Source organism: Homo sapiens, chromosome 3, assembly GCF_000001405.40.
Source record: "Homo sapiens chromosome 3, GRCh38.p14 Primary Assembly".
NCBI lineage: Eukaryota > Metazoa > Chordata > Mammalia > Primates > Hominidae > Homo > Homo sapiens.
The window spans coordinates 33,485,586-33,499,219 of NC_000003.12; the positions used below are offsets into that span (position 1 = coordinate 33,485,586).

The window sequence follows — 13,634 nt, forward strand, 5'->3', positions numbered from 1 at the left end:
CATGTATGCTATATTTTTCTTATTTATCTTTTGTCTCTAACCAGAATATGAATTCCATGAGAGAACAGATTTTTGTCTACTTTTTCAGTGCTGTATTCCTAGTGCCAAGAACAATGCTTGACATTTGAATAGATGTCCAAGTACAGTTGAATATATATATTTTTAATGGAATGTAATTATATTTGTAGTATTTATTTCTCAGAAGAATAAACTTGATTGGTAACTTGAGTCAGGCTAGTTGGTATTTCATGATGATACAACATGAAATTTCATTAACAAAGGGTGTGTAATCTTAGGGATGCAGTACTGGAATTCCCTTATTGCAGTTAATACATTTGTATATAGATTTCCTATGGGAATGTGTAATGAAAAAAAGAAGCTGCTAACTGGAAGCATTAAAAGTGGAATCCATGAACTGCTTGTTAGTTGCTAAAATAAAGAATTTTGAAATCAGAGTATCATGCAATATTAAAATTTGTGTTATCATAAATAACTCTAGATTAGTGCTTCTCAAACTTTAATATGCATATGAATCATAAACTATAATGTGCATATAAATTACCTGGGAACATTGTCAAAAATGCAGATTCTTACTCAGTAGGTCTGAGGTAGGGTCTGGCATTCTGTATTGAGTTTCTGGGTGATGTTGATGCAGCTGTTCTGTGGAATAGCAAAATGTTTCATGACATTAAAACCAGAAATTTCAAAAGTAATACTTTTTCTTTTGTAGGAAAGATGTTAAAAGCTGAAGTCTGGGAATCTGAAGCAAGAATCAGTCTGATCAAATCGTACCATCATGGGTTACTGATGTGATAGGGTATTTTCTGAACTGAAATATCACTTTCCTTTGACCAAACATCATGCACTGAAGACTGACATTTGTGATGTATAACGGCTGGTTTAAACATGAAGGCAGGGAAAAAGGCAGACTGTGGAAAAGTAGACTGAGGAGTGGCGAGGGATCAAGGAAGCAGAAGAAAAGACTGGAACGCCTACTTAATTTTTTGTAGGGTGTATTTGTCTGTTTTCACGCTGCTGACAAAGACATACCTGAGACTGGGTAATTTATAAAGAAAAAGAGGTTTAATGGACTCACAGTTCCATGTGGCTGGGGAGGCCTCACAATCATGGCGAAAGGCAAAAGGCATGTCTTACATGGTGGCAGACAAGAGAGAATGAGAGCCAAGTGAAGGGAAATCCCTTATAAAACCATCAGATCTCATGAGACTTATTCACTACCACGAGAACAGTATGGGGGAAACCATCCCCATGATTCAATTATCTCCCACTTGGTCCCTCCCACAACATGTGGGAATTGTGGGAGCTATAATTCAAGATGAGACTTGGGTGGGGATACAACCAAACAATATCATAGGGTAAGACTTTCATAAATACAAATCTATATTTACATAAATGAAATTATTAATATATCCCACATGTCAAACACTCTTTCTTCTCTCTTCCTTAGTCCTCCTACCCCACCTCCATGTTGCATGTCTGCAATCTTGAATGTATCCTTGCATCTTTTCCCAAACTTAAAATCATATATCATTCACACATGCATTGATTTTTTTTGGTTATTGTTTTTGTCATCATGAACAGCACACATCTGGAAGTGCTGGTGTAATTTATCTATTTTTTAAAGAAAATCAAAGAGAGGAAAATCTTAGAAACCTTTAGAATATCCATTAATACCATTAGGCTTTTAACAAAACTGTCCCACTCTCCTGGCTCATGAGATTGCTACTTTCCAAAAAGGAGTCGCTTTTAACTCTTAGTGATTTTATCTGGTATTCTGTTCTAGACAATATCTATTGGCTTTTTTTTTTTTCTTTTTTTTTTGAGAAGGTGTCTCGCTCTGTCACCCAGGCTGGAGTGTAGTGGCGTGATCTCGGCTCACTGCAACCTCCACCTCCTGGGTTCAAGCAATTCTCCTGCCTCAGCCTCCCGAGTAGCTGGAACTACAGGCACCCACCATCATGCCTGGCTAATTTTTGTATTTTTAGTAGAGATGGGGTTTCACCATGTTGGCCAGGCTGGTCTCGAACTCCTGACCTCAGGTGATCTGCCCCTCTTGGCCTCCCAAAGTGTTGGGATTACAGGCATGAGCCACTGTGCCCGGCCAGCTTTTTTTTTTTTTTTTTTTTTTGAGACAGAGAGTCTCACTGTGTGGCCTAGCCGGGAGTGCAATGGTGCAATCTTGGCTCACGGCAACCTCCGTCTCCCAAATTCAACTAATTCTTGTGCTTCAGCCTCCTGAGTAGCTGGGATTACAGGCGCGTGCCACCATACCCAGCTAATTTTTTTGTATTTTTAGCGGAGACGGGGTTTCGCCATGTTGGCCAGGCTGGTCTTGAACTCCTGTCCTCAAGTGATCGGCCTGCCTTGGCTTCCTTCCAAGTGCTGGGATTACAGGTGTGAGCCACTGCATCCGGCTCTATTGGCTTTTTACAGTGGAAGGTGAGGATTCAACTCTACATACCTCCTGCATCATCACGGTTATATCAACTTTTTGGTTAAGTCAGCTTCCATTATTGTTATGTGTGTTTAAATATTAGTCATACATGAGGATATAGTGTATTGTGATACAGCCTTTGCTTTTCATTTGCTTTATTGTGAAGTTTACCTATGTTAATTCACTTCCCAAATCTGAAGAAGTACCCTCAATGTATCCACTCATCAAGTAAATCCTCCTCTTTCTTTCCCTTGGAGACCTTCCTCCTAGAATCAACTATACCCAGTTCTCATCTGGGCTGGCTACTCCTCCATCAGGATGTTGTATGATGTCTTCCTGAGACTCTCTTCACCATCCAGTCTTGAAGACAGACAAGCAAAGCGAGAAAGGACAATTGGGAAAGGATGATGTAATCAGAAGGATCAGCAGTCTCAGTGAGCTGCTGGAACATTGGGAATTGGAGGTGAGGGAGCTGCAACCACGGAGCTCTTGCTGCCCTGACCAGCCCTGCTTTAGGTTATTCAACATCTACCTCCAAGACAAATGTTGTTTGAGTTGCATTGTGAGGCCTCATTATATTAATGCTTCCAGTAAAAAAGAGGATATAGAAACTGCATCTTCTTCTTTAACAACTATGAATATTACTTTACTTGAGTACTTACCTAGGTCGCATATGTACATTTTTAGAAACTCAGTATTTTCATGCACCAGTCATTCAAAAGCAATTTTGAAATGCCATAGGATTTTTTTTAAGGTCTTAATGGACACTCATATTCATAAAGAGGGAAAAATCTTAAAAATGTTCATGTAGAATAGCTAGGGCATTTATAGCACACACAGAGATTAAGTTTTCTATCTCTGGCCTCAGACAGTCTGGGTTTAAAGACTGGTTACACAACTTGTAGGCTACAAGACCTTGGGCAAATCAGTTAACTTCTCTAAGTCTCAGTCTCTTCTTCTGTAAAGTAGGAATGATGATAAAATAATAATAATAATAACACCTGCCTTAAATATTCTAATTAAAAGAAGTAATGCATCTAATGTACTTGGTGCAAGACCACATAGGAAAGAACAATTAGCATAAAGCATTTATTATGTATTTTTTTGCTGAAATATAAAGCAGCAACAAAAGTCTGAATGTGAAAAGCCATAGGACAATTTTATTGTTTTTAGGGGATTTGGATATTCTTTTTTTTTTTTTTTTCTCGCTCTATTGGCCAGGCTAGAGTGCAGTGGCATGATCTCGGCTCACTGCAACCTCTGCCTCCCGGGTTCAAACAATTCTCCTGCCTCAGCCTCCCAAGTAGCTGGGATTACAGGCGTGTGCCACCACGCCTGGCTAATTTTTGTATTTTTAGTAGAGACAGGGTTTCACCATGTTGGCCAGGCTGGTCTCGAACTCCTGACCTCAGGTGATCTGCCCGCCTCAGCCTCCCAAAGTGCTGGGATTACAGGCATGAGCCACCCTGCCCATCCAGGATTTGGATATTCTAAAGGCTCACTGCACTAATTCATTCCTGTATTCGTTTATTAAATGATTATTAAGTACTTATTATGTTCCAAGTATTGTTCACAGTGCTGGAAACACATAAATGGTTAAAACAACAACAACAACAAATGCCTGTGTGGCATTACTCACAATAGCCAAGAGGTGGAAGCAATCCAAATATTCATCAGTGGATGAATGGATAAAGAAAATGTGATAAATACATATAGTGGAACTGTTATGCAGCCTTAAAAAAGAAGGAATTCCTGTCATGTGCTACAATATGAATGAATCTTTGAAGAAATTATGGTTAAGTGAAATAAGCCAGTCCCAAAAGGATAAATACTATATGATTCCACTTATATGTAGTATCTAAAGTAGTCAAAAATCATGAAAACAAAGTTGAAAAGTGGTTGCCAAGGACTGAGGGAAGTGGGAAAGAGGAATCAGTGCTTTTTTTTTTTTTTTTTGAGATGGAGTCTTGCTCTGTCGTCCAGGCTGTAGTGCAGTGGCATGATCTTGGCTCCCTGTAAACTCTGCCTCCCAGATTCAAGCGATTCTCCTGCCTCAGCCTCCTGAGTAGCTGGGATTACAGGTGCGTGCCACCATGCCCAGCTAAATTTTGTATTTTTAGTAGAGACGGGGTTGCACCATGTTGGTCAGACTGGTCTCGAACTCCTGACCTTGTGACCGGCCTGCTTCGGCCTCCCAAAATGCTGGGATTACAGGCATGAGCTACTGTGCCCGGCCGAATCAGTATTTTATGAAAGTATAGAGATTCAGTATTCTAAGATAAAAAAGTTCTAGAGATCTGTTGCAAAACAATGTAAATATACTTAACACTCGAACTTTACACTTAAAAATGGTTAAGATGACAAATTTAATGCTATGTATTTTTTATCACAATTAAAAAATTAAAGCGTGCAATTGGCAAATGAACTGCTGGGTTTACGATCGTTAAGGTGGAACAGTTCAGGGCCAGGCTGGGGAAATAACTGAGCTTGAAGGAAGGCAGCAGCAGTCAGGGACGTCAGCTGGATGGCTACCACCATCCATTAAGACTATAGTCCTCAAGGCCATCACTTGCAGATATCAGGCTATGCTCAAGAGACAGACATTATTTCAGTTATCACAACCAATCTTATATGATAAGTGCTATTGTTTTTGCAGTTCTGTAGATGAAAAACTCAATGTTTTCAGAGGTTAAGTAACTTGTCCAACTGGTGGAAACAGTGATTTCCACTAGAGTAGTTCCAATGCATAACCCATTCTCTTAACCACTCTGCTCTACCTCCCTTGGGGAGATAGGGAAATTTGTGGGCCAGATGCCAAGTCCTTGAAGCAACAGCAGAATGCAAGGGTGATAATGAGAGGGAGGTGGTAGATCTGCCTATGGTATGAAACTTAAAGGAGGTAGGGTTTAGATAAAATGGGTCTGATCATATGTGCCAAATTTAGAAAAACAAAGAGATCAGTGATGAAGTCAGAATCAGTGAAATTGACATTAGGAACAAGGTAAGCAGAGAGAAAGTGAGAGAGGAAGCAAAGACAGAAATCTCACAATTCCTGTGGGCAAACACTCTCAACACAGCTGCTTTTTAAAAAAGTTGCTTCAATTTGCCTACTGTGTTCATATGCATATAAAATCATCTATGTAGATATTCTATATATTCTGTCTCAACATCCTTACATATAATCATTAGGTTAGGTAGTAAACAGGGTTCTAATCACTTTTATATTTTGAACTCATTTAAGATTTTTTTTAACTTTTGTTTTTTTAGACAGGGTCTTGCTGTCACCAGAAGTGCAGTGGCTCAATCTTTGCTAACTGCAGCCTCAAACTCCTGGGCTCAAGTGATCCTACTGCCTCAGCCTCCCAAGCAGCTGGGACTACAGGCATGGTTATTTTTTTTTTTTTTGAGACCGAGCCTTACTCTGTCGTCCAGGCTGTAGTGCAGTAGCACAATCTCAGCTCACTGCAACCTCCGCTTCCAGGGGCTCAAGTGATTCTTGTACCCTAGCCTCCAGAGTAGCTGGGATTACAGGCCTGTGCCACGAAGCCTGGCTAATTTTTGCATTTTTAGTAGAGACAGGGTTTCACCATGTTGGCCAGGCTAGACTCAAACTCCTGACCTCAAGCAATCCTTCCACCTTGGCCTCCCAAAGTGGTGTGATTACAGGTGTGAGCCACTGCACCTGGCCTTGAACTCATTTTAATGACTATCAAGTTATTTTATTGTTTTTAACTGTGGAGAAATACATGTAACAAAATTTATCATCTTGTCATCTTAATCATTTTAATTTATCATCTTAATCATTGTTAAGTGTTTGGCTCAGCGGTACTAAGTGCATGCACAATGTTGTGCAACCATCATTGCTATCCGTCTCCAGAACTCTTATCATCCCAAACAGAAACCCTGTGCCTATTAAATACCTCCTCATTTCTCCCTGCCCCCAGCCCCTGGCAACCACCATCCTATTTTCTCACATCCAAGTACTAAATAGGCCCAAACCTGCTTAGCTTCTGAGATCTGACGGGATTGGGCGTGTTCAGGATGGTATGGCCATAGGCCACCATTTTTTTTTTCTGTTTTTATGACTTTGACTACTCTAGGTACTTCGTATAAGCATAAACATACAATATATGAATGACTATCTAATGTTTAATACTGCCCAGCCAACCCCAAAGTCGTTCACTGCTGCTAACCTGCTTGGAGTAAACCTCACTGTAAGGAAATTCTCTCACCTCTGGGGCCGAACATCAGTTTTTTGAAATAAAAATCACTTTTATGAGACCAAAATTTGAGGGACTAGCATAGCATTAAACAGAAACTTCAAAATTGAATAAGCTATAGTAGAAAATGAGCAGTGACAGTTTGGCCTGAGTTGAGGATCAATGATTTGTGTTGAATATTTGACATGTGAGTTCATCATTAAAAATGAGAAAATTTATCCTAAAATCAATCAGCTAGAAGTGATCTCCAAATTGTTCACCTTTCTATTTATTAGTGTAAAAGAACTGATTCAGGCTGGGTGTGGTAGCTCATACCTGTAATCCCAGCACTTTGGGAGGCAGAGAACAGATCATCGCTTGAGGCCAGAAGTTGGAGGCCAGAAGTTGAAGGCCAGTCTGGGAAACATAGTGATACGCCGTCTCTACAAAAAATAAACATTAAAAAAAAATGAGCTGGACATGGTGGTGCGTGCCCATAGTCCTAGCTACTCAGGTTGCTGAGGTGGGAGGACTGCCGGAACCCAGGAGTTCAGGTTACAATGAACTGATTGTGCCACTGCACTCCAGCCTGTGTGACAAAGTGAGAACATATCTCTAGACAAAGTAAGAAATCAAAACTGATTCAGTGCTTTTAACCAGGGCAATATTAGGACCTATCTATGGGAATTCCTTTGCTTTAGGGCAAGGTTTCTCAACTTGTGCATTATTGACATTTGAGGCCAGATAATTTTTTGCTGTGGAGGGCTGTCCTGTGTATTGTAGGAGGTTTAGCACCTTCCTTGGCCTGTACCCACTAGATGCTAATAGTGCCTCCACATCCAAATTGAGATAATCAAAAATGTCTCCAGATACTGCCAAATGTCCTCTAGCAGGCAAAAGTTATTGCAGTTGAGAACCACTGCTTTAGGAAGATAGAGAAGAAAAAGCACATTTTTTGCTTTATTGATGTAATCTAACTTTGATTCTACATCTCCACTCTGACCTAAACTTTGATGAAAATTATTGTAAATGTGGCTTTAGACTAAAACTAGCAAAACTGTCAGGCAATCTCTTTTTGCATTCACTTCCAATAAATAATAGATTTACAGTTTCTTAAGGGGAAAAATACTGCCCCATGAGTCTGCCATTAACATTGAATGAATACAGGGAGACCAGAGCTGCACAAAGCATGCTGGTCAGCATGGTTTGCAAAAAGCAGCATCCCTGGGCGCTTTCCTACCCCGAGTAACAAGCCAGCCCCTCCCATATCACTCTAATTTCCGAGGACACATTAACACGTTTTTCCCATTACCAGGTCCACAACTACATATTTATAGCATGCAGACTTTAGGGGTGTCAGATGCACAGCAGGTGCTCAAATATTTAATAAGTGAATGAAGGACATCAGAACCAGGTTAGTAGTAGAGGCCAATATGTAAAAAACTGGAGTCTAAACCATCTCACTTCTGAAGTTTTCAGATTATGTAAAATTGAAGTGTTTGAGATGTTAATTCTAATTGCATTATTCTGCTGAAGTCTTCAGTGGAATCCTTAGCTCACAGACTATACCATAGAATATATATCTTAGAATATCTATGACTCCATCTTGGGCCATTCCCCACTATCTCATGTTCTAGTCAAACCAAGTTGTGTTTAACAGTGGCCAGTTGGGGAGATACTATGTTCAGTTTGGAAAAGGAAATTCAATAGTATAACTTTACAAGATGAGAAAAACTTTTGAAATACTAACCAATAAAAGAAAAGCTATATCCAAGTTTGCTTGCTTGCAAGGATGCACAGATTTTTTTTTTCTTTTGTATTTTAGAGATGGGGTCTCACTATGTTGCCCAGGCTGGCTTCAAACTCCTGGGCTCAAGTGATCCTCTTGCCTCAGCCTTCTGAGTATCTGGGACCACAAGTATGTGCCACCACTCGTGGCTGTTTTTGTTGCAGATATTTTTAAAGGAGAAGGGAGGGAGATTTTTTAAATTTATGAAAATAAACAGTGGTTTATAAAGTTCCAGTGACATGCCCTAATGCCTCTTGCCATTTTATACATCGCTGCCTTGCTACTTTTGCTTCTTTTCTCTGCTCACTCTATAACCCCCAATGTATCTCAGATACATTCTGCCTTTAGACTAGGTTTAAGCATCACCTCTTTTTCTAGGAAGCGTCTAATGATTATACCTTATTTGCAACTCCTCCAGCCCCAGCTCCTAGCTCCCATCATTGTACCCTTTGTTTACATCATAGCACTAACCACACTGTATTATAGTTATGTGCTTTACTGTGTCCTTGAAGGGAGGTACTCAGATATCTGTTGCATGAATGAATGCAGGTAAATTTGAATACTGAAAATCGGGTCTGTATAAAGTAAAAAAATCTTGTTTCCCTGTTCTACTGTAGATTACCATTATAATAATAAACATTGCTATTTAAGCAACTACTGTCATCTTCAAATAAACAATGACTTTCTACACTTAGCAATTCCATATTAAAGTCATGTATAAAATTGCCTACTATGAAATAATTGTAGATTTGCCAAAGATGTAGCTATTTGTTATAAGAATATTCAGTGAATATTAACAACCCAAGTATTAATGCTGCACACATAGAATGGAACACTTTGCTCCATTAGAAGCTACCTTTTAGAACAAAGAATATATTCAAAAGTATTGTTAAGGGCCAGGCATGGTGGCTCACGCCTGTAATCTCAGCACTTTGGGAGGCCAAGGTGGGTGAATCATTTGAGGACAGAAGTTCAAGACCAGCCTGGCCAACATGGTGAGATCCTGTCTCTACTAAAACAAAAATTAGCCAGGCGTGGTGGCATGCGCCTGTAATCCCAGCTACTCAGGAGGCTGAAGCAGAATTGCTTGAACCTGGGAGGCTGAGGTTGCAGTGAGCTGAGATCGCATCATTGCACTCCACCCTGCCTGGGAGACAGTGAGACTCCATCTCAAAAAACAAACCCCACCCCACAAAACCCCCAAAAGTATTGTTAAATAACATGCACAGAACAAAAGTATTCAAAATGTTAGTTAATTCTAATCCTGTCACTCTTCCAGTGAACAAAATTTAATGTTTCCTTTCAGTTTTCAGTATTACATCAAACTCATTATCTTAGTATTCTAAAAAACAGCAAGCAATACAGATTATCTTTAGTGGTGATATTAAAAATAATTTTTTTCTTCTTCAGTTTTTCATTATTTTCCAAATATCCTACAATAAAGATGGATAATTTTTTTAACTGATAGGTTTTCTTTTTTTTTTTTTTTTTGAGATGGAGTCTTGCTCTGTCCCCCAGGCTGGAGTGCAGTGGTGTGATCTCGGCTCACTGCAAGCTCCACCTCCCAGGTTCACGCTGTTCTCCTGCCTCAGCCTCCCGAGTAGCTGGGATTACAGGCGCCCGTCACCTCGCCTGGTTAATTTTTTGTATTTTTAGTAGAGACAGCGTTTCACCATGTTAGCCAGGATGGTCTCCATCTCCTGACCTCGTGATCTGCCCGCCTCGGCCTCACAAAGTGCTGGGATTACAGGTGTGAGCCACTGTGCCCGGCCTTTCTCTTTTTTTTTTTTCAACAACGGAATTCCAAACCTTTTATATGGCTGCAAAACTGTACTAATTGCAACAAAATGAATTAAACTAATACCAGAAGCAAAGATATAAAAAATTAAGTTTAAAAAGCCTCATGTATTATGGAGTAATATGCTAATTATCATTTCTATTTACTGTAAATGCTATTCTAATTGAGCAATTATAAGCTACATTTGAATTAACAAATAGACCTGGCCTTATCAATGATGTTATCAGTAAGATTCCAGTCTTTTACTGTAAGACATAACTTAATAATAAAAGTAATTTTGACTTAAAGTCTGTAAGAACAAAATATGAAGGAACACAGCAGATTAACTACAAAATTGAAGCCTCAGGTTCAAACCACGTGTTACTTGAAAATGTCAGAAGTATATTATAGATTTTGAAACCCAGAAGAAATAAACATGTTTTACAATCTGGAATATATAATTTTAATTAGTTCTCAGCAGTGCAGTAAATGAACAACACTTATTAATAATTAATTTGGGAGAGAATAGCAGGAGGAAAAATATAAACAGTAGCTTTTTGTGACCATTTTTAAGTAGCTGACATCTCAGTATGTTTCTGGAATGAACAAATTAAGGGTGTATTGTATATAGTGATTTAAATAATCAGCTTTCTTATAGTCTTATCAACTGAGATTATAAAATTGTAAACACAATTTTTCCATGTTTACATCTACTAGCTTTCATTTGGACACATTAAACCATACTTTTCCATTATGTAGTTAATTCATTTCTTGAGTGCCTGCCTGCCATTAGATGCCAGGTGCTTATCTAATTTTCCAGTTAGTTACTGTTCAGCTTAAGTCACTCTACTTGGTTGTCAACAGTAGTTAAAGCAGTATCTTAAACCAGAGGTCAAAATTAAATCAATATTTTGATTCGAAATGATTACAAACATATCCAAAGGTCATAAAATGCTACTGAGAAGAGTTGTGTTTAAAATGCATTTTCTTCTTACAGATAAGCTGTAATATATACATGCGTATGTAGCTATATACCTTTGATTGTGGTAGCTACACCTGAAAAATCTTTTCTCCTCAGATGAACTTACAAAATTCAAGAGACCACCACTGATACAAGACCGTCTAAAGTTAAAATAAAACTGAGTGACTTGTTACACAGTGAGACAGAAAAACTGATATACATTATTAACTTTTTCAAGTAATGTTATGTACAGTTTTATTGCCAGTATATGCACAACAGTAAGCATAGAACTATAAATACACAATGTAATTAACAGTAGAAAACAAAATTGTTACAGGTAGAGGGAGAGGATATAGAGAAACTTTTCCTGCTGCTAGAACAGAAAGAAAGGGGAAAGCCTATGACAAATCATCCATTCAGTACTCTTGTCTTAAATTCTTTACATATATTTCTACATTTTTTTCAGTTAAACAAAGTACAGATAACTCTGCAACAATGGCAAACTGCTTCCCTAATAGCTATTTGCCTTTTCAATCAAATTCACTTTATATTAGGATTAAAAAAAAGTAAAGATGAGAAATCATTAGTATCCTGGTTCCAAATTATCTAATTTAGCCTTTCACCAAAACTGGTAATTTTTGAGTCGGCTGCACATGAAAAGAATGGGTGTAGCAAGAGGTGATTAAAAAAATTTGCTAAAAAGTAACAGAAAATCACCCTTTAAGTAGTTTTCCAAAAGACACTATAGGCAGCAGCTCAGTTAAAAGTATTAGCCCTGAAGAGGTAGAGAATTTGAGCCCATTATACAAAGACAGCCTTGGCACCATCTTCTCTCTCATCAGGATCAATATTTTCAAGTAAGACAATTTCATGGTAAAAGGAAACCAGGTTCCACCATTTAAAGAAAAGGTGCTGGTCACTCCCATGTCTCGATAATTTGTTTATTACGTGAGAAACAGAAGACGGTCAAGGACACACACGCACTTGATTTTTTTTGTCCGTTTCCATTATCAAGTTTATTCATAAGTGAATTTGATATTAATAAATACAAAAAAGCATCATTCACAACAAAGATATAAACAAACCAAAATAAACCCTGCAATAAAACCTTCTATTTCAGTAAGTATCAAGAAAAAACAGGCAGATGATTTGGTGCAGCTTTCTTAAGGGATCATAGAAGGGACATGGTTTTAAATAAAGATGGCAAGATCAATAACCAATAGACAATATCAGTTTTACAGAACTGGCTGATTCTGTAACATCTGTCTTTGAGGTTTTAGTTTTCAAACTATAGATCACCCCAAAGAAGTTGCAACTAATGACATGTATCACCATCACACAAACGGAGTCCAGCTGTAGTTCAAATTAGTCCTGCTTTGTTTCACATCATTTAAATATTTCTAGCATAGGACATGATACGAAACAAAACTCAAAGTAGCAATAAAAATATTATTCTGCAGTTGAATAAAAGCAAAAATGTTTTAGACTGTTAAACTTTTAAAGCTTTAAGCATTCCTGTTTAACCAGCATTTAAAAAAATTTATACAATCATAACACTGGCAAAGGTTAATGGGAAGACAAAGTACAAACATGTGAAATGATGAATTAAATTAAAAATTACTTTGTGTCGATCAATTGATGTTAATACTGCTTCTTCTTGAATTTGGAATAACTATCATAAAAGTTACATGCAGACTGAGGATAGTCCTCTGTTACAGAAAATACAAAACGAAACGAAACAAAAAACTAAAACTGGGAAACAATAGTAAGTTCCAAAGGATGTGTTTGAGAACTTCCTTTCATTGATGAGGGTGGTCTATCTGTCCTTTCTTTTGAGAGACCTGGTTCGCTGTGATGAGCTTCACTAACTTTGTCCAGAAACATCAGTAGTGGGATCAGCTCCTCCAGAACCTGTTTGTGCACGTTTGATGTAAAGATTCAGTAGCTTCATCTGCAGATTCAAGCCAAATAAATGTCATTTGAGCAAGCTGCTCCAAATTATAAGATACTCATTAAAATATTATATACATATATGTGAGCTCTGAAAGATAGATTTTAGGCTGGGGGTTATTATAATGCCCAAGTTATTGTTGATAATTAGGAATAACAAATTATTTTTTTTTTGCCTAGCACATCTGAAAAAAATATAAAAAGTCAAAAAAGTTTCTAAGTCTTGAAAGTTGTTCATGACAGAGTATTTTATCATGTCTTTTCAAAATATATTGTAGGGATCACATATAAAACTTTTGATATGGTCTAGCTCTGTGTTCCCACTCAAATCTTATCTTGAATTGTAATCCCCATGTGTTGGGGGAGGGTCCTTGTGGGAGGTGACTGAATCATGGGGGCAGTTCCCCTGTGCTGCTCTAGTGATAGTGAGTTCTCACAAAATCTGATGGTTTTGTGAGGGGTTTTTGCCCGCTTCGCTCTGCAGCTCTCCCATTCTTCTCCTT

The 13,634-nt window shown here is 38.2% G+C and overlaps 1 protein-coding gene and 1 pseudogene across 81 annotated transcripts in view; both read right to left on the reverse strand.

Moving 5' to 3' along the window:
- Positions 6,398-6,513, reverse strand: RNA5SP128 (RNA, 5S ribosomal pseudogene 128; annotated as a pseudogene).
- CLASP2 (cytoplasmic linker associated protein 2) overlaps positions 10,660-13,634 on the reverse strand; it is a 222,010-nt gene continuing 219,035 nt past the window's right edge. For all 81 annotated transcript variants that reach the window (NM_001375713.1, NM_001400406.1, NM_001375705.1 and 78 more), the window contains one exon: positions 10,660-13,132. In NM_001375713.1, the coding sequence (NP_001362642.1) occupies positions 13,046-13,132 (87 nt within the window). In that variant the 3' untranslated portion in view covers positions 10,660-13,045. The remainder of the gene's footprint in view (positions 13,133-13,634) is intronic.